This window comes from Homo sapiens, chromosome 7 (assembly GCF_000001405.40).
Source record: "Homo sapiens chromosome 7, GRCh38.p14 Primary Assembly".
NCBI classification, from domain to species: Eukaryota; Metazoa; Chordata; class Mammalia; order Primates; family Hominidae; genus Homo; species Homo sapiens.
In genome coordinates this window covers 90,731,245-90,751,547 of record NC_000007.14, presented here as the reverse complement: position 1 = coordinate 90,751,547, position 20,303 = coordinate 90,731,245, and the positions used below count along the sequence as shown (strand labels likewise).

The 20,303-nt window shown below is 38.4% G+C and overlaps 1 protein-coding gene across 4 annotated transcripts in view, besides 2 other annotated features; it reads right to left on the bottom strand.

The window, feature by feature from the left end:
* CDK14 (cyclin dependent kinase 14) overlaps positions 1 to 20,303 on the bottom strand; it is a 614,270-nt gene that overhangs the window by 459,043 nt on the left and 134,924 nt on the right. For 3 of the 4 annotated variants that reach the window (NM_001287135.2, NM_012395.3, NM_001287136.1), the window contains one exon: positions 3,773 to 3,867. The exons of the other annotated variant lie outside the window; for it this stretch is intronic. In NM_001287135.2, coding sequence (NP_001274064.1) covers positions 3,773 to 3,867 — 95 coding nt within the window. The remainder of the gene's footprint in view (positions 1 to 3,772; positions 3,868 to 20,303) is intronic. 4 annotated transcript variants of the gene reach the window in all.
* Positions 1,745 to 1,804: an enhancer, noted in NCBI's record as "active region_26251". NCBI's record gives its function as "activates an Ori minimal core promoter by ATAC-STARR-seq in GM12878 lymphoblastoid cells {active_cell/tissue: GM12878}" and the evidence as "EXISTENCE:reporter gene assay evidence [ECO:0000049][PMID:35858748]".
* Positions 13,913 to 14,202: an enhancer, noted in NCBI's record as "active region_26250". NCBI's record gives its function as "activates an Ori minimal core promoter by ATAC-STARR-seq in GM12878 lymphoblastoid cells {active_cell/tissue: GM12878}" and the evidence as "EXISTENCE:reporter gene assay evidence [ECO:0000049][PMID:35858748]".

The window sequence follows — 20,303 nt, the reverse complement described above, 5'->3', positions numbered from 1 at the left end:
ATTGTTCTTACATTTCCATGTTTAGAACACCCTTAAGGATCTCTTGTAAGGCTGATCTAGTGGTAAGAAATTCCCTCAGCACTTGCTTGTCTGGAAAACATTTTATTACTCCTTTGCGTATGAGGCTTATCTTGGTGGGATATGAAATTCTTGGCCGAGATTTATTTTAAGAATGGTGAAAACAGGCCCCCAAACTCTCCTGGCTTGTAAGGTTTCTTCTGAGAAATCTGCTGTTAGCTTAATGGTGTTCCCTTTATATGTGATCTTGCTTTTTTCTTTCTAACATTTTTTCTTTAGCATTGACCTTAGACATCCTGGTGAGTAAGTCTTGGTGGTGTTCATTTTATATAGTATCTCCCAGATGTTCTCCAGATTTTTTGAATCTGGATATTCACCTCTCTAGCAAGGTTAGGGGATTTTTCTGGGATTATTCCCTCAAATATGTTTTCCAGGTTGTTTACCTTTTCTCTGTCTCACTTAGGAATGCCAATAATTTGAAGGTTTGATCACTTTACATTATCCCATATTTCTCAAAGATTTTGTTCATTTAAAAAAATATTATTTTTGTCTGGGTTAAGAAGATTGGTCTTCAAGCTCTGAAATTATTTCTTCCACTTGGTCTAAGATATTGAAGCTTTCAACTGTTTTCTTCTTTTCTTTTTTTTTCTTTTTTTTTGGAGACAGTCTCGCTCTGTTGCCCAGGCTGGAGTGCAGTGGTGTGATCTCAGCTCACTGCAACCTCCGCCTCGCAGGTTCAAGCTATTCTCATGCCTCAGCCTCTGGAGTAGCTGAGATTACAGGCATGTGCCACCACACCTAGCTAATTTTTCTGTTTTTAGTAGAGATGGGGTTTCATCATATTGGCCAGGCTGGTTTCAAACTCCTGACCTCAGATGATCCGCTCGCCTTGGCCTCCCAAAGTGCTGGGATTACAAGTGTGAGCCACCACGTCCGGCCTCAATTGTATTGAAATTCCTTAAGTGAGCTTTTCAATTCTAGAAACGCTGACTGATTTCCTTTTAAGATGTTATATCTCCTTCTTCATTTCCTGGATTGATTTAGAAGTTTCTTTGTGTAGATTTTGAATCATGTCTTGGATCTCACTAAGCTTCCTTGTAATCCATGCTTTCAATTATTTATCTGTCATTTCTGAGTTTCCATTTTGGTCAGGAATTATTGCTGGAGAGTTAGTGTGATCCTTCAGCGGTGCCAAGACATTCAGATTTTTCACAATAACAAAATTCTTTTGCTGGTTCCTTCTCATCTGGAGATGTTGGCACTATAATTTTTGTAATTATTTTTGTACAGATTGCATTTTTTCTTTTTCTTTCTCTGTAATATTATTGGTGTGTGTGTGTGTGTGTGTGTGTGTGTGTGTGTGTGTGTGTGTGTGTTTTCTTTCCCCTTCCCTTCTCCCCACTCCCTCTGTGTTGCAACTGCAGAGAATGCTGGGTAGGATCTTTTGGCTTTGCTTCTATAGCCCTATGCATTTCTATCAGCAGCTTTTACATACGGCTGTTTGGTTTGACCTACAGCCAGTAGATGGCACTTATCAGTAAGAACCTACTGCAGCCAATGTGTCTGGATATATACTTGATCCTTATTTATGGGGAGATGCTCTCTGTTGCCTTAGGCAATGGGCTGATCTGTGGAGCCCATAGTGTTCTGAGTTCCCTTCTCAGTCCTGGGGGCATGAGGCAAGATGGTCATCCCCTGATAGCAGGCACAAGCACCAGCACTGATGGAGAATCCAGTAGAAAGCCACCAAGCACCCAGAGTGTGCCTAAACATGAAGCTGGGAAACATCCTTAGCCCCAAGTCTCTGCAGAGGAAGTGGAGGCAGCCTAAACTCCTAATCCAGGAGTGTAAGTGCTCCAGATCCCTGGAGATTTGCTGGGGCATGGAGGAGAGAGGAACCTGCTACACCAGAGTTTTTGTGTAGAAAGGGTGAGGCAGCTTAAGCTGCCATTCCAGGTGAACTGGTGCTCCAAATGCCTGGAGATCTGCCTGGGTGTGGAGCAGAGGCCTAGCTGCACCATGGTCTCTGCACAGGAAGAGTGAGTGACTCAGGATGCTGAACAAAGTGAGCAGGTGCTCTAACTGCCTGGAGATCTGCCTGGATGTAAAGCAGAAAGGGCCCCTCCTGCACCTGGATGTCTGCAAAGGAAGGGTGGGGCAACTGAGGTTGCCAATCCAGATGAGGTGAGCAGGTGCTTTGAATGCTTGGAGATCTGACTGGGCATGGAGTGAAGAAGGCTCTGCTATACCAGGATCTCTGGACAGAAGGGGTGGGGCAGCTCAAGATATAGAACGAGGCAAGCGGGTGCTCCAAAGGCCTGGAGATCTGCCCGGGTGTGGAATGAAGAGGGCTCCCTGCACCATTTTTACAAACTTTTTTTTACAACTCTCAAAATTAATACTATTACTTTTGACTTCACAGTATTTTTGCCTTACATATCTTTCTTGATAAGGAATATTTCATCTTCTAAACTTAAGAAACATGAACAAACAGATATAAGACCACACTCCTGAAAATCCTAAGATTACCTAAATTAGCACATAATCAAAATTTCCAACTATGTCTTTGGAATGATCCTTCAGAGAATTTTTCTCTTCTACATCTTCTTATTTAATTACTTAAGTTACAATATTCTAATCTGGCTGGGTGCAGTGGTTCATGCCTGTAATCCCAACACTTTGGGTGGCCGAGGCCAGAGGATCACTTAAGCCCAGGAGTTTAAAACCAGCCTGGGCAATACAGGAAAATTCCGTTTCTGCAAAAGAGTTTTTTAAAAAAAATAGCCAGACATGATGGCATGGGCTTGTAGTCCCAGTTACTCAGGAGGCTAAGGCAAGAGGACTGTTTGAGCCCAGGAGGTTGAGGCTGCAATGAGCCGTTATCAAGCCACTGTACTCCAGCCTGGGCAACAGGGCGAAATGCTGTCTCAGACAAAAAAGTCCTATCTTCTATAAAGATTTTGAAAAGAGATAACAGGGACAGTATAGAAAATTATTTTGCAACATCATTTGGTAAAGTTATAAAGGTAAAACAAAGCTTGTGACTTCTGTGGTTGTTGCAGAGATTGCATTAAGTTATCTACAACTACATGTCACTAAATACAGTAACTCTCTGTCCTTAATTAATAAGGGAGAGTAAGGAGGTCAATCAGAAACACATGAGGACAAGCTTTTCAAGAATCCAAATCTGTGCCCTGACCCCCAGAGAGCAATGGAGAGAAAGAAGAAAAGGAGGAGACAGTTGTTTCTCGATATGAAAATATATGCAGCATGATGCCAAAGCAGACAGGAAGAAAGAAAAAGAAAAGTTTGCCATTTTGTTTAACTAAGAGACTTCTGAAAGATGGAGTAAAAGCTTAACTTAAAAAGACCCCAAGAATGGCCAATATATTTGGCATTGTCAAATCAATACTCCTATTCCCAACACTAAATCTCTATGAGAAATTAATCACATAATTCACCTGGAAATGAATTCTCATTAGACGGTTCCAACTCCTTTGAAAGAGAAAGCAGTGTTGTGGGGAGGCGCATTAAACAGAAAAATAAATTGAACAGTCTGAAAAACTGTTTACTAGCAGGGTACACCAATTCCAATGAGTTTTACACACTTGCCAAAAAAAAAAAAAAAAAAGGATACCGTGAGGGAGGAAAATCTATTGTATATTAAATAATAATTATTTAAATAAAATGCTATTTAGTAATAAGAGGGCAGATACACTGTACATGTGAAATATTCCAAAAATAATGAACTTACTTGCTTTTCCCTTTGTATACTGTAGCATAAGATCCTTCCCCTAGTTTTTCCAGCTTTTCATATGAGTCAGCTTTTCCAAATTTGGGACTTGTTGGCTAAAAATGAAGCACAGGGTAAACAAAACAGATTGTATCAAATTAATTAACAACAAATACCCTGATTTTGCTAAAAATGTACAGATTCTCTGTCACTTTTTAAATAACTGTTTTTTCTGGCATACATGTTTATTTTTCAAAACAACATAATAAACAGGATACAAAACTAAAAAAAAATGCAAATAAACACAATGTAGAACGAAATTATTCCCATAAGCTAACCAGGAAACCACTGTTAATATTTTGATAGCTGTTCTTCCAGTGCTATCTGTAAGCTGATGATTGCTTTCTTACATAAATGAAATTGCACTATATCTACTGTTTTTAAACCTGCCCCTCCCTTTTTTTATTCAATCAATTATGAACACTTTACATGTTATTATACCATCTTCTAAATTAGGAGCTGGCAAACTGTGGCCCATGGGTCAAATCCAGCCCACCACCTGTTTTTGTATATCCCATAAGTTTAGAATAGTTTTTACCTTTTCTAATGGTTGAAGGAAGCAAAGCAAAACAAGAATAAAGTTTCATGATATGTGAAAATAATATGAAAATCAAATTTTAGTGTTCATAAAGTTTTACTGAAACACAGTCGTGGTCATTCACCTGCATATTGTTTCATGGTTTTCAAACTACAACACAGCTGTAGTTCCAATACAGATCATATGGCTGACAAAGCTGAAAATATTTACTGTATCCCATTGTAAATCATGATGGTATAATATTCAGTTATATAAAGGTACTCTTCTGATACCTTTTAGTGATAATTCAAACAGATAATCAGAAGATGTATCACTCAGCTATCACTAATACAAAATGGAACTCTCTTATATATACATAAATCAATCCTTAAGGTATAGCTGCCACAAAACAACTCTTAAGACAGGTCACTTCCCAACAGGACCAAAAAAAATGCTAAGAGAGAGTGACCTCATCAATCTTATTGTACTCAACTCCCACCCCAACTTTAACTATGGAACAAGAAAAGGGGAGTGTTGTCCTCCATGGTGGAGAAGCATTCACCTTCTATTTCAATAAGACATGATCTATTATTATACTGTTGCTATTATATAAAAGGGTAATACCAAAGCATATTAGAAAATGATAATTATATAAGGAATGAAAAATATCTTATTAAAGAGATTTATTCCAATATAAATATACATATAATTCATAAAAAGTTGCTAATATTTGTGGTACTTTATAAATAACCAACTTCAGAAGTTTAGAACTTGTATTCTTCAAGTTGGGCTTGAACACTACTTTTGAATATACACCTGTATCACTTATCAAAAAACACACAATATGTGGGCAATGATTCTGACTCCCACTATTTATTGGGATTTTATGTGGCCAGTTGAATACATGTTTCTTACTTTCTTCCCGCCCAAAATACCCATCATGACTTAAAAGTTATTTTTCAAAAACAATAAATCAGAATTAGAAGCAGAAAACAAAAAAGAGTGCCAATATCTAATCAGAAATTTTGAAGAATTCTGAAAGAAGGTAATCAGAATCAAAACTTCAGAGAAAAGCCTGACCATGTAGGGGAAGACTATTAAATAAAAGAAGCAAGAACCTCTAGGTGAACATGAGACTAATCAACACATAAACAGTTGAGACTGCAGTGTCCTCCCAAGCAAGCTGTGGAGGCATCTGCACAGGAGACAGCTTAGAGTGTGGTATCTGAGCAGAGCAAGGACTCAAATAGCCAATACCCAGAGAAAAAGCAATGTCTCCCCATCCCCCAAGCTGTAATCCCTTTCACACAATCAGTAGAGAAAATTTACAGAAAATAAAATAAGCTGACAGTGATTCTCAAGTACAAATATGAGTATACAACCAAAAATCACAAATCATTTTAGGAAAATCAATATCCTGAAAGAGATGGATAAAATTCAGTGGGCAGATAAGCTAAAACCTTGGAAGGCAAGTTAACACTGCAAAGGTAAGGATAACTTTAAATAGGCTGAGCACGGTGGCTCACACCTGTAATCCCAGCACTTTGGGAGGCAGAGGCAGGCAGATAACGAGGTCAAGAGATCGAGACCATCCTGGCCAACATGGTGAAACCCCATCTCTACTAAAAATACAAAAATTAGCTGGGCGTGGTGGCACAAGTCTGTAGTCCCAGCTACTCGGGAGGCTAAGGCAGGAGAACTGCTTGAACCTCAGAGGTTAAAAAAGTAATAAGCTCAATGGCTGAACAGAACTCTCCCAGAAAACTTCAGGGAGAGGTTACATCTAAATAGAAAAATTATTCAGCAAGCATATTGTCATAGATTGTAATCGGTGCAAAAAGACAGTTAAGCAATATTTTCAAAATTAAAAGGAAAAATAATTTTGCATAATTAATACTATACTCAAGACGGTCCCTCAAGTGAATTATGGAAACACAACAATTTTATTACCCACAGAAAAAAATCTAGACAAAAAATTATCTCAATATAAGATGTAGTTGGAGTGATGGGGGAAAAGGCAAGGAACAGTAGGAAAGGAGAAATAAAAGCACACTGAGCTTTCTTGAATAAATCAGAATATATTGCAGATACAGATTGAAACTCCAAATGCATATGTTTTAGGATGTTTCTTAACCTTTAAAAGGTAATCAGTAAATTGATATAAATAAGGTATACAAATCCCAAACAAATTGGGGAGAGGGGAATGGAAAAAAAATGCAATGAAAGAGGAAGAGGGTAAGGAGTGAGAGGTTAGAGGAGAAGGCATATTCAATAAGAAAGCATGCTAAGTAAAATTTTATAAAATAAGAATAAAGTTGAGGAGCCCCTCTGCCCGGCCAGCCGCCCCGTCCGGGAGGGAGGTGGGGGGGTCAGCCCCCGTCCGGGAGGGAGGTGGGGGCGTCAGCCCCCCGCCCGGCCAGCCGCCCCGTCCGGCAGGGAGGTGGGGGGGTCAGCCCCCTGCCCGGCCAGCCGCCCCGTCCGGGAGGTGAGGGGCGCCTCTGCCCGGCCGCCCCTACTGGGAAGTGAGGAGCCCCTCTGCCCGGCCAGCCGCCCCGTCCGGGAGGGAGGTGGGGGGGTCAGCCCCCGGCCCAGCCAGCCGCCCCATCCGGGAGGTGAGGGGCGCTTCTGCCCGGCCGCCCCTACTGGGAAGTGAGGAGCCCCTCTGCCCGGCCATGACCCTGTCTGGGAGGTCTACCCAACAGCTCATTGAGAACGGGCCATGATGACAATGGCGGTTTTGTGGAATAGAAAGGCGGGAAAAGTGGGGAAAAGATTGAGAAATCAGATGGTTGCCGTGTCTGTATAGAGAGAAGTAGACATGGGAGACTTTTCATTTTGTTCTGTACTAAGAAAAATTCTTCTGCCTTGGGATCCTGTTGATCTGTGACCTTACCCCCAACCCTGTGCTCTCTGAAACATGTGCTGTGTCCACTCAGGGTTAAATGGATTAAGGGCAGTGCAAGATGTGCTTTGTTAAACAGATGCTTGAAGGCAGCATGCTCCTTAAGAGTCATCACCACTCCCTAATCTTAAGTACCCAGGGACACAAACACTGCGGAAGGCCGCAGGGTCCTCTGCCTAGGAAACCAGAGACCTTTGTTCACTTGTTTATCTGCTAACCTTCCATCCACTATTGTCCTATGACCCTGCCAAATCCCCCTCTGCGAGAAACACCCAAGAATGATCAATAAAAATAAATAATTTAAAAAAAAAGAATAAAGTTAAATCCAAACATATCAATGATTACAATAAACATACACGAATCAACTTCCCCTATTAAAGGAAAAGCTCTCAGATTAAAAAATAAAAAAAACAAAGAAAATCTAGCAATATGCTATTAAGAAGAGATTAAAAAAGAGTAAATCTGAAAATAAAGAAGGGGAAAATATAGCCCAGTAAGCATTTTTTAAAATAATACCTATAGTAGTATTGATAGCAGACAAAACAGAATTTACAAAACAATAAATAGATTAAATTAATATCTCCCATAAAAAATGAATGTTAAAAATCCACCAAGAAGTCTAATAAACTAGTAAACTAGTAAAGGCCAAATAACATAGTTTTGAAATGTATCAAACAATTGTTGGTAGCAATAAAGTGAGAAAGAAGTGATAATGAAAGACAAGCATACACTACTAATCGACAGAGCAAGCAAGTAACTAATAATTAAGGGATATATGGGGCTCAAATACTAGAAACAGCGGCTTAATTAATATATGTATTCAAATATTTATATTCTTTCAAGCACACATCTAAAATTCACCAAAAAAAATCATAGATTAGGTCACAAAGATGAGCTCAATATTGAAACCTGCAAAAACATTTCAAGTTGCTTTTTCTGAACACAATGCAATTAAATTAGAAATTAAGACTATAATTAACAACATTGTACTCTATTTGGGATTCCTGCTAAATGAGTAGATTTTAGCTGTTCTTGCCACAACAACAAAAAATGGGTAACTATATGAGATGATAGATATATTAATTTGCTTCACTACAGTAATCATTTTACTATCTATATGTATCCCATACCACCACGCTATATAGGTTAGAATCCCTAATCCAAAAACCTTAAAACCAAAATGTTCCAAAAATCTGAAACTTTTTTAACATCAGCATGATGCCACAAGTGGAAAATTCCACACCTGACCTCATGTGATAGATGCACAAAATTATTTAAAATATTGTATAAAATTACATTCAGGCTATGCATATAAGCTATATATGAAACATAAGTGAGTTTAATGTTTAGACTTGGGGTCCCCTTCCTAAGATATCTCATGTATATTCCAGAATCCAAAAAAATCTTAAAGCCAAAATACCTCCGTACCAAGCATTTCCGATAGGGGATACTGAATCTTTGTATCTTAAATATACACAATAAATGGTTTTTTTTAATAAAAAAATTAAAGCTGAATAGTTTAATAACATGGGTTTAAAAAAATCAAAACTTAAAATTCATAAATATGTGTCAATGAGAGCATGACCATTTAAGACCTATGGCATGCAGCCAAACCAATACATAAAAGAAAATTTAAATATATGCATATAATAGAAAACAATAAAGCAGTATGACGTAGACTTTTAATGGCAGCTAGAAAAGAAGCAACAAAGAACACGGTAGGAAGAGATTAATAAAGACAATAAAAGATATCTGTAAAATATAAGACAAAAGTATTATAAACATGATTAATAAAACCAAATGCTGTTTGTAAAGACCATTAAAATAGATAATTATCTGGAAAGTCTCATTAAAAAGAGAACTAAATAAACACTGGAAATACAAAGAGAACATAACTCAGTTTAAGAACGAATGTTTTTGTTTTCATTAATTAACCTGGAACACTATGAACAGCTTTATACCAAAATATTCAAAATTTAGTACATACTTTCTAGAAAAAATTAATTACCCAAATTGACTTAGGCAAAATACAAAAAAACTAAGACACAATAAACAGAATAAATTTAAAGAATTAATCTTAAAAATACAATCTTCTAAGGGCTACTTCCACTAAAATTTAAGAAACAGATATACTAAGTTGTATGAAGCAGATAGCATAAAAATATAAAATGCTTTTAACTAGCAAAACCCCATTACCAAAATTAACTAACTAATTAAACAAAAGGCCAAGTATCACAAACGTAGGAGCAAAAATTCTAAGAAATATTTTAAAAATTAATTTCTGCAAATGTACTACAAGAATAATATACCATGGCCAAATGAGATTTATTTCATGAATTCAAAAATGGTTCAACCTCAAAAAAATTACTAATATATTTCACTACATAAGAGAAAAATCCTGAAAAACAATTTTTAAAATTCAATATACTGTGTATCTGAAATAAAATCAAAAAATTATGTAACCTAGTAACAAAGGAAAGGTTCCAAATTCAATATTATTTCTATAGAAACCTGTAACAAACCTCATATTAAATGGTGAAATATTTGATCCATTACTTTTAAATGCAAGAACAAGCCAGGAAACCACCTAACTTCTACTATTTGGCAGTTATTAACAAGCATTTGTGCTTTAGATACTAATCTCTTCCATAAAATAGTAACCTATTATGTTAATCCTTACAATAACAAATATGTCTCTAAATATGTCCAAATGTTAAGGGCTTAAAATCAATGCCACAGAGATTGTAGAAAACAGGTACTTATTAAAATTTTCTACTACCCAATTCACCTGTAAATATCCTAAAGGCTCAATGGTTGAAGTCAACCCACTGCACATAAACTTCCATGAGGTTGTTTCCTCATTCTGTGTAATGAAAAAGAACTTAATTTATGTGTGGAACTAAACAGATTTTTGCAAAATCTAAAGTCAGATCTTTCCAGGTGTATACAGCACAAGGTAGCCTAAAGCTGTGCAGACTGAGGAGGTATTATCAGGCAACTACTCTCACTCATCATTAATGCTAATAAAAAGAGAAGAAACAAGTTCATCTCTGAGAGTCTCAACTATTAATCCAGCCTATCTCTAGACAGTGGCACCTTCAATGGAAGAATGACTGTGGCAAATGTTGAGGGAACTGCTGGAAAATTAGTAAGTGCTTCAAGAAAACTTGCAGAGTCAAGTACTCAATCTGCACAGCTGGACACAATAGTAACCCATTTCCTAACCAAGCATTCAATGTGGGGTCAATTCCTCCTCAAGCTCCACGATTACTAATTTTATAATGAAATATAGACCAAAAATAGAATTCTTGCCCTCACAAAATCAGAGCTCCTAGAGCTACATAACACTGTCGGCATCATTTACTCTAATATAAATATATAAAAATGAAAACCTCCCAGAAACACCGATTTGCCCAAGACCATACACTGAATTTCAATTAAATATTTTGCCTTAAAGTCATCTAAGTAATCTGCTCCCATTTAGCACTCAGTATGCGAAAACAAAACTAGCAGCACAAATTTTGCTAGCACTCAGTATGAGAAAACAAATTAACAGTGTTTAAAGAAAAAATCCGAACCAAATAACAAGGGTTTATTTTATACATATGTATGGATTGCTAGAGGTGTCATAACAAAACATCACATACTTGGTGGCTTCAAGAACAAAAATTTATTTGTTCACAGTTTTGGAAGCTAGAAGTCCAAGATCAAGGTTTTGGCAGGGTTTGTTTCTCCTGAGTCCTCTCACGTTGGCTTGCAGATGGCCACCTTCTCTTGTGTCCTCACATGGCCTTCCCTCTGGTTGATGGGATCCCTGGTGTCTCTACACTTCTTGCAAGGACACCAGTCATATTATATTAGGGTCACACCCAATGACCTAATTTTAATTTAGTCACCTCTTTAAAAACCTTACCTTCAAACACGGTTACATTCTGAGGTACTGGGGGCTGGGACTTCAACATATGAATTTTAAGGGAACACCATTCAGCCCATAACACACACACACACTCTTTCTCTTTCTTTCTTTCTCTCTCTCTCTCTCTCTCTATATATATATATATATACACACACACATACATACACATATATATGTATATGTATATGAAGGACAAAGATATTTCAAAAATTAATATAGAAAGAAACGGAGGAGAAGAAGGGAGGAGAGGGTGTAAGTTTTTTTTTTTAGGAATTTAACTTGGTTCCACGTAATTTAAACTATGATTACAATGATGAGCTCTTTAGGCATTACATTCACTTAGGACCACCTATTTCTTTCTTCAAGAAATTTGTAAGATACAAACCATGTGTTGAGTTAAATCAAGTAAAATTTAATGGAAAATTACATTCAAAGTCGCCTGACTAGTCCTGTGTGGGTTATGTTCTCATGCATTTTTCATCACCAGGAAACAGCTTGTGAATGTCACACTTTACCATCACCCTCCTGAGCCCAAGTTTTAAATAGAAATTTAAAAACCTATATTAAACTTCAGTATAAAATGATCTTCAATGGGGAAAATATTGTGTTCACAGTTCCACTCTAAATTATTTAAAATCAGAATGAGAGGTCTGTGTGTTTGCTTTTGTGCTCCTTTAAGAATGAATGCAATCTAAGTTAAAGAAAAACACAGCAGCGGAAAATTACCTTTTTATTCTTATTAGGAGATAAACTGCTAATGACTACTTAGAGTAAGTATAAGACACAGTCACCACTTGGCAAGAGAACAGGAAGCCAAAATTTTCTCTTTCTGGAAAGGCACAAATAATTTTCTAAAAACGATATATTCACTCTACATAGATAGTTTTGTATAAAAGAGTTAATGTAGTTATTTTTAAGACATAGACCATATTAAACTTACTACTTGAAAAAACTGAACTGAGGAAATTAGAAAAACAAAAAAAATTTTAATAAAAACAATCTCCATTCATTCACAAGAAAGATTTAGTAAAGGAAGATGCCAATGGTACAAAGTAGTCTATCTAACTAACTGGGTTTGGATGCATTAACTGCTACGGTTGTATTCTATATTCTGTTAACACTACAATGGCAGAAAATTAATACTTTGCCACATTTTGTGGTAAAAAAATCAATATTATCTGCCCTGTGAAACTGACAGGTAGACATTGTGGAAATACACTGTAACTTACAAATCAATCATGCTGACTCCATAGGAAGAATCAAAGGCATGTAATTCTCTCTAAAACTTTTCCTAGTCTACAAAACAACAGTCCTATGGAATAGGATGCATCTAAGAGACAGTCTCCGCTTTGAGAGTTAGATTCTTATAAAGTGAGTCTCCTATTTTAAGTATGCAGAAATGGTCTGATCTGTAATTACTGTACACATAAATAAAGAATCCAAATGCCAAATATTTAAAGAGGTCAATAATAAAATTCTTCCCATCAAATAAGTAAAAAAAAAAGAATAATTCAGAAGGAGAGATTTTTGTTTATAATTAAAGTGGAGTCCTTTGTCTTTTTTTCCTTGCAACTTTATTAAATCATCACATTTAAATAAAGATACTGGATCAAACCAAGGTGTAGTCAACCTTAAACATTATCTTTGGCTTTTTGATGTCAGGTGTGTGGATGGATGAGAAACAGCTTTATGGGACAACTATTCTCTGCTTATCGCTTCCCTACTTAGAGTGTAGGCTTGAGATACCACTTTAGAGACGTGGAAATACAGAGGGCTAATCAGCAATTTCTAACAGACACTAACTGCATAGAGATGTGAAATTTAATGAGATGATGTTAACACTTTTTTAAAAAACTGAATAAAAGTATAGAGAACCGTCAATTATCTGGGCCAGCGGAGGGGAACACTGACATGGATAATGAAAAGTGCACATAATGTTCCAGCTGAACAATGTTTGTCACCCTGCCATAGAGGTGTTCTTAACCCTTGACAGCTCTAGTTCATTGTCTGTGTAATAATAATAACAACTAGCTAATATCAAGTAATTATGTATCAGACCTTAAGCTAATCATTTTATATGTATTACATAAACTTAATCTCTATAATACCACCATGAGGTTGGTTCTATTACTATCCCCATTTGAACATGAATAATTTATAGACTGGAAAAATAAAGTAACTCATCTAAAATCCTATAGTTACTGGCAGAACTAGAATTCAAGCCAAGATTATCAGAATTGAGAATTATTTTCTTTGTTACTATTACACTGGTGGAATATTCACACAGAGTCCTAACCCTCACCCACATAGAGGAAATATTAAACATGCTTCGGTCTATCTTCTATTGAAACCCCACTCACAGAAGCAAGGATGGGTGTCTGAACTGCAATTTTTATAAACTTCATGAGTATACTTCAGTGTTCACTGTAATGATACCCTGATATCCAGTAAGAATGTCCATAGCTTCATACTGACTTCATTGAAAACTGATTTTAACCCTCACACATAACCCCTTGCTTAAGATTGTTGAGTACCCCCTGAATTGAGGAAAACCACAATGGAGAATCACTTCTCCAGCACATTATACTGTAATTGTGAGAGTGGGTATGAGGGTGAGAGAGGAAGGATTCAATCAGAACCACGTGACTCCATTAAATAAGGATTTAAAGTCAAACCTGACTGGGCTAATTTTTATTTTGCCTTTGATCTCCAGAACAAGCTTTATCACCCAGCATTGATAGCCCTATTACAGCCACACTAAGGTAATGCATCATTGATAGGTAACTTGGTTATAAAATAGATCTAGGTGCTGTGCAGAGGTATGGATCCAAACACCACACATGGTAACAACCTGTCAAGGGGGCTTGGTTCTAATCTGGGAATTTTCCACTCCCCAGAAGAGGAAGTAACGCCAAGATGACACACCAACCACACCTTAAGAACAAGTATCTAAAAACAGAAGTGAAACTCTCATTTGCAGGTTTGCACCCTCCTCCCACATCTCCCAGATTAGGCCTGCCTATCATGGGATATAGATTTTTATGGTGATGAAAAGAGGTAAATTTGGAGCAATTTGTGGAATGTAGAGAGGACCTTAACCTAAATATGAGTTTCTGAAAATATGCCCTCTTTAAGATCAGCTTATGACAGCATAACTCAATGAAATCCCTTCTAAATTGGTCCAGCAAGACAGGAAATCTCCTGTAGTACTCCCAAGAACTGCAGCTACTGAGGAGCACAGCTGGGTTAGAGGAGGTGGCAGGAATAGGGGAGGGAAGGTTTGTCACATCAGTGACGGTATTAAACACCACACAGGAACTAGTCCTAGGAAAAGTGGGCACTCAATATACATCTGAAACAAATTTAAAAACCTCTTAAACACCCTCTTAAAATATACCACTATAAATAAAACCTCATTCTTTATATTTTGCGTGAATTTTAAAGTGCCACTATCTGAAGAAAAAAACCAATCAGCCAGTTACATTAGCATGATGGCCACTGAGGTCAAGGCATTCTTGGTTCCTTGATTTCAGTCAAGGCTCCTAATATATAATGGCCTGTATGTGAAGAGCATATAGATGTATACGGCTGGGAAGGCATGATATTTTAAAATAGTTTCTACCACAGTATTTCCAAAAAACAATGCTTTCCTCATTAAAACAGTGGCTGCAATGCCACACTTCTATCACATTTTCCTTCCTTTTCAGCTCTACTCTTGGAGCCTATAAAAGATAACTAATATTTTAAAAGAAATAATGATAAAATAAAAGTATGACATAAATCATGGTGACCCTTAAGGAAACAGGGTCTTCCTTTGATGCTTATCAGTCATTGTTACATCCTCTAAGCATTGTTAAAAATAACACCCGTGTCTATAAGGCTCCCTTGTTTTCCCATGCTTCCCATGGGAATTAACTGATCAAATCTTTACACTGCTGCAGGGGATGTAAAATGGCGTTATGCAAAAAGTGTTAATGTTTCCATTTTCTGCCCAATTCAGAATCCAGTGGAAATTAACCTTTCTACCAAAAAAAAAAAAAAAAAAAAAAAACAAAAACATAATAAAGTACCCCTTCTTATCACAACAGGGGAGAGAACAAAAAGGCAGCAGACAGGATTTGCTGGCAAGATGGCCAAATAGGAACAGCTCCCATCTGCAGCTCCCAGCGAGATCAACACGGAAGGCAGGTGATTTCTACACTTCCAACTGAGGTACCCGGTTCATCTCACTGGGACTGGTTGGACAGTTGGTGCAGCCCACGGAGGGCTAAAGCTGGGTAGGGCATCGCCTTGCCCAGGAAGCGCAAGGGGTAAAGGGATTTCCCTCCCCCAGCCAAGTGAAGCCATGAGAGACTGTACCGGGAGGAACAGTGCACTCTGGCCCAGATACTGTGCTTTTACCACAGTGTTTGCAACCGGAAGACCAGGAGATTCCCGCCGGTGCCTAGGCCACCAGGGCCTGGGTTTCAAGCACAAAACTGGGCAGCCGTTTGGGCAGACACCGAGCTAGCTGCAGCAGTTTATTTTTCATACCCCAGTGGCACCTGGAATGCCAGGGAGACAGAACCGTTCACTCCCCTGGAAAGGGGGCTGAAGCCAGGGAGCCAAGTGGTCTGGCTCGGCAGGTCCCACCTCCACGGTGCCCAGCAAGCTAAGATCCACTGGCTTGAAATTCTCGCTGCCAGCGTAGCAGTGTGAAGTCGACCTGGGACGCTTAAGCTAGGTGGGGGTGGGAGAATCGCCTTTGCTGAGGCTTGAGTAGGTGGTTTTACCCTCACAGTGTAAACAAAGCCATCGGGAAGGTTGAAATGGGCAGAGCCCACTGTAGCTCAGCAAGGCCAGGCCAAAGGCCGCTGGTGGCCAGACTCCTTCTCTAGATTCCTCCTCTCTGGGCAGGGCATTTCTGAAAGAAAGGCAGCAGCCCCAAGTCAGGGACTTAGAGATAAAACCCCCATCTCCCTGGGACAGAGCAACGGGGGAAAGGGGCGGCTGTGGGCGCAGCTTCAGCAGAACTTAAACATCCCTGCCTGACAGCTCTAAAGAGAGCAGCGGATCTCCCAGCACAGTGTTCAAGCCCTGATAAGGGACAGACTGCCTCCTCAAGTGGGTCCCTGAACCCCATGTATCCTGACTGGGAGACACCTCTCAGTGGGGACCGACGGAAACTCATACAGGATAATTCTGGCTGGCATCTGGTGGGTGACCCTCTGGGATGAAGCTTCCAGACGAAGGAACAGGCAGCAATCTTTGCTGTTGTGCAGCCTCTGCTCGTGATACCCAGGCAAACAGGGTCTAGACTGGACCTCCAGCAAACTCCAGCAGACCTGCAGCAGAAGCGCCTGTTAGAAAGAAAACTAACAAACAGAAAGGAACAGCATCAACATCAACAAAAAGGATGTCCACTCAGAGACCCCATCCGAAGGTCACCAACATCAAAGACCAAAGGTAGGTAAATCCATGAAGATGGGGAGAAACCAGCGCAAAAAGGCTGAAAATTACAAAAACCAGAACACCTCTTCTCTCCCAAAGGATCACAACTCCTCGCCAGCAGGGGAACAAAACCAGACGGAGAATGAGTTTGACGAATTGACAGAGGTAGGCTTCAGAAAGTGGGTAATAACAAACTCCTCTGAGCTAAAGGAGCGTGTTTTAACCCAATGCAATAAAGCTAAGAACCTTGAAAAAAGGTTAGATGAACTGCTAACTAGAATAACCAGTTTGGAGAAGAATATAAATGAACTAATGGAGCTGACAAACATAGCACAAGAACTTTGTGAACCATACACAAGTATCAATAGCTGAATCGATCAAGGGGAAGAAAGGACATCAGAGATTGAAGATCAACTCAATGAAATAAAACAAGAAGATAAGATTAGAGAAAAAAGAGTGAAAAGAAGCAAATAAAGCCTCCAAGAAATACGGGACTGTGAGAAAAGACAAAATCTATATTTGACTGATGTACCTGAAAGTGACGGGGAGAATAGAACCAAGTTGGAAAACACTCTTCAGGATATCATCCAGGAGAACTTCCCCAACCTAGCAAGGCAGGACAACATTCAAATTCAGGAAATACAGAGACCACCACAAAGATACTCCTCAAGAAGAGCAACCCCAAGACACATAATCCTCAGAGTCACCAAGGCTGAAATGAAGGAAAAAATGCTAAGGGCAGCCAGAGAGAAGACTCAGGTTACCCACAAAGAGAAGCCCATCAGACTAAAAGCAGATCTCTCAGCAGAAACCCTACAAGCCAGAAGAGAGTGGAGGCCAATATTCAACATTCTCGAAGGAAAGTATTTTCAACCCAGAATTTCATATCCAGCTAAACTAAGCTTCATAAGGGAAGGAGAAATAAAATCCTTTAGAGACAAGCAAATGCTGAGAGACACTGTCACCACCAGGCCTGCCTTACAAGAGCTCCTGAAGGAAGCACTAAACATGGAAAGGAACAACCAGTACCAGCCACAGTAAAAACATACCAAATTGTAAAGACCATCAACGCTATGAAGAAACTGCATCAACTAATGGGCAAAATAACCAGCTAGCATCATAATAACACGATCGAATTCACACCTAACAATACAATAACCTAAAATGTAAATAGGTCAAATGCCCCAATTAAAAGACACAGACTGGCAAATTGGACAGAGTCAAGACCCATCAGTGTGCTGTATTAAGGAGACCCATCTCATGTGCAAAGACACACATACACTCAAAATAAAGGGATGGAGGAATATTTACCAACCAAACGGAAAGCAACAAAAGCAAGGGTTGCACTCGATAAAACAGGCTTTAAACCAACAAAGTTAAAAAGAAACAAAGAAGGACATTACTAATGGTAAAGGGATCAATGCAACAAGAAGAGGTAACTATCCTAAATATATATGCACCCAATACAGGAGCACCCTGATTCATAAAGCGAGTTCTTAGAGACCTACAAAGAGACTTAGACTCCCAAACAATAGTAGGAAACTTTAATATCAGACAGATCAATTAGACAGAAAATTAACAAAAATATCTAGGACTTGAACTCAGCTCTGGACCAAACAGACCTAAATGATATCTACAGAACTCTCCACCCCAAATCAACAGAATATACATTCCTCTCAGCACCACATCACACATACACTAAAATTGACCACATAACTGGAAGTAAAACACTCCTCAGCAAATGCAAAAGAATGGAAATCATAATAGTCTCTCAGACCACAGTGCAATCAAATTAGAACTCAGGATTAAGAAACTCACTCAAAACCACATAAGTACATGGAAACGGAACAACCTGCTCCCGAATGACTACTGGGTAAATAACGAAATTAAGGCAGAAATAAAGATGTTCTTTGAAACCAACGAGAACAAAGACACAACATACCAGAATCTCCAGGACACATTTAAAGCAGTGTGTAGAGGGAAATTTATAGCACTAAATGCCCACAAGAGAAAGCAGGAAAGATCTAAAATTGACACCCTAACATCAAAATTAAAAGAACTAGAGAAGGAAGAGCAAATACATTCAAAAGCTAGCAGAAGACAAGAAATAACTAAGATGAGAGCAGAACTGAAGGATATAGAGACAGGAAAAACTCTTCAAAACATCACTGAATACAGGAGCTGGTTTTTTGAAAGATCAACAAAATAGATAGACCTCTAGCCAGATTAATAAAGAAGAAAAGAGAGAAGAATCAAATAGACACAGTAAAAAATGATTAGGGGGATATCAACACCAATCCCACAGAAATACAAACTACTATCAGAAAATACTATAAATACCTCTATGCAAATAAACTAAAAAATCTAGAAGAAATGGATAAATTCCTGGACACATACACCCTCCTAAAACTAAACCAGGAAGAAGTAGAATCCCTGAATAGACCAGTAACAAGTTCTGAAATTGAGGCAGTAATTAATAGCCTACCAACCAAAAAAAGTCCAGGACCAGAAGGATTCACAGCCGAATTCTACCAGAGGTACAAAGGGGAGCTGGTACCATTCCTTCTGAAACGATTCCAAACAACAGAAAAAGAGGGAATCCTCCCTAACTCATTTTATGATGCCAGCATCATCCTGATAGCAAAGCCTGGCAGAGACACAACAAAAAAAGAAAATTTCAAGCCAATATCCCTGATGAACATGGATGAGAAAATTCTCAATAAAATACTGGCAAACCAAATCCAGCAGCCCATCAAAAAGCTTATCCACCATGATCAAGTCGGCTTCATCCCTGGAATGCAAGGTTGGTTGAACATAAGCCAATCAATAAATGTAATCCATCACATAAACGGAACCAAGGACAAAAACCACATGATTATCTCAAAAGATGCAGAAAGGGCCTTTGACAAAATTCAACAGCCCCTCATGCTAAAAACTCTCAAGAAACTAGGTATTGATGGGATGTTTCTCAAAATAATAAGAGCTATTTATGATAAACCCACAACCAGTATCATACTGAATAAGCAAAAACTGGAAGCATTCCCTTTGAAAACCGGCACAAGACAAGGATGCCCTCTCTCACCCCTCCTATTCAACATAGTATTGGAAGTTCTGGCCAGGGCAATCAGGCAAGAGAAAGAAATAAAGTGTATTCAATTAGGAAAACAGGAAGTCAAATTGCCTCTGTTTGCAGAGACATGATTGTATATTTAGAAAACCCCATCATCTCAGCCCAAAATCTCCTTAAGCTGATAAGCAACTTCAACAAAGTCTCAGGATAAAAAATCAATGTGCAAAAATCACAAGCATTCCTATACACCAATAACAGACAAACAGACAGCCAAATCATGAGTGAACTCCCATTCACAATTGCTACAAAGAGAATAAAATACCTAGGAATCCAACTTACAAGGGATATGAAGGACCTCTTCAAGAAGAACTACAAACCACTGCTGAAAGAAATAAGAGGACAAAAACAAATGGAAAAACATTCCATGGTCATGGATATGAAGAATCAATATCATGAAAATGGCCATACTGCCTAAAGTAATTTATAGATTCAATGCTATCCCCATCAAGCTATCATTGACTTTCTTCACAGAACTGGAAAAAACTACTTTAAATTTCATATGGAGCCTGCATAGCCAAGACAATCCTAAACAAAAAGAACAAAGCTGGAGGCATCACACTACCTGACTTCAAACTATACTACAAGGCTACAGTAACA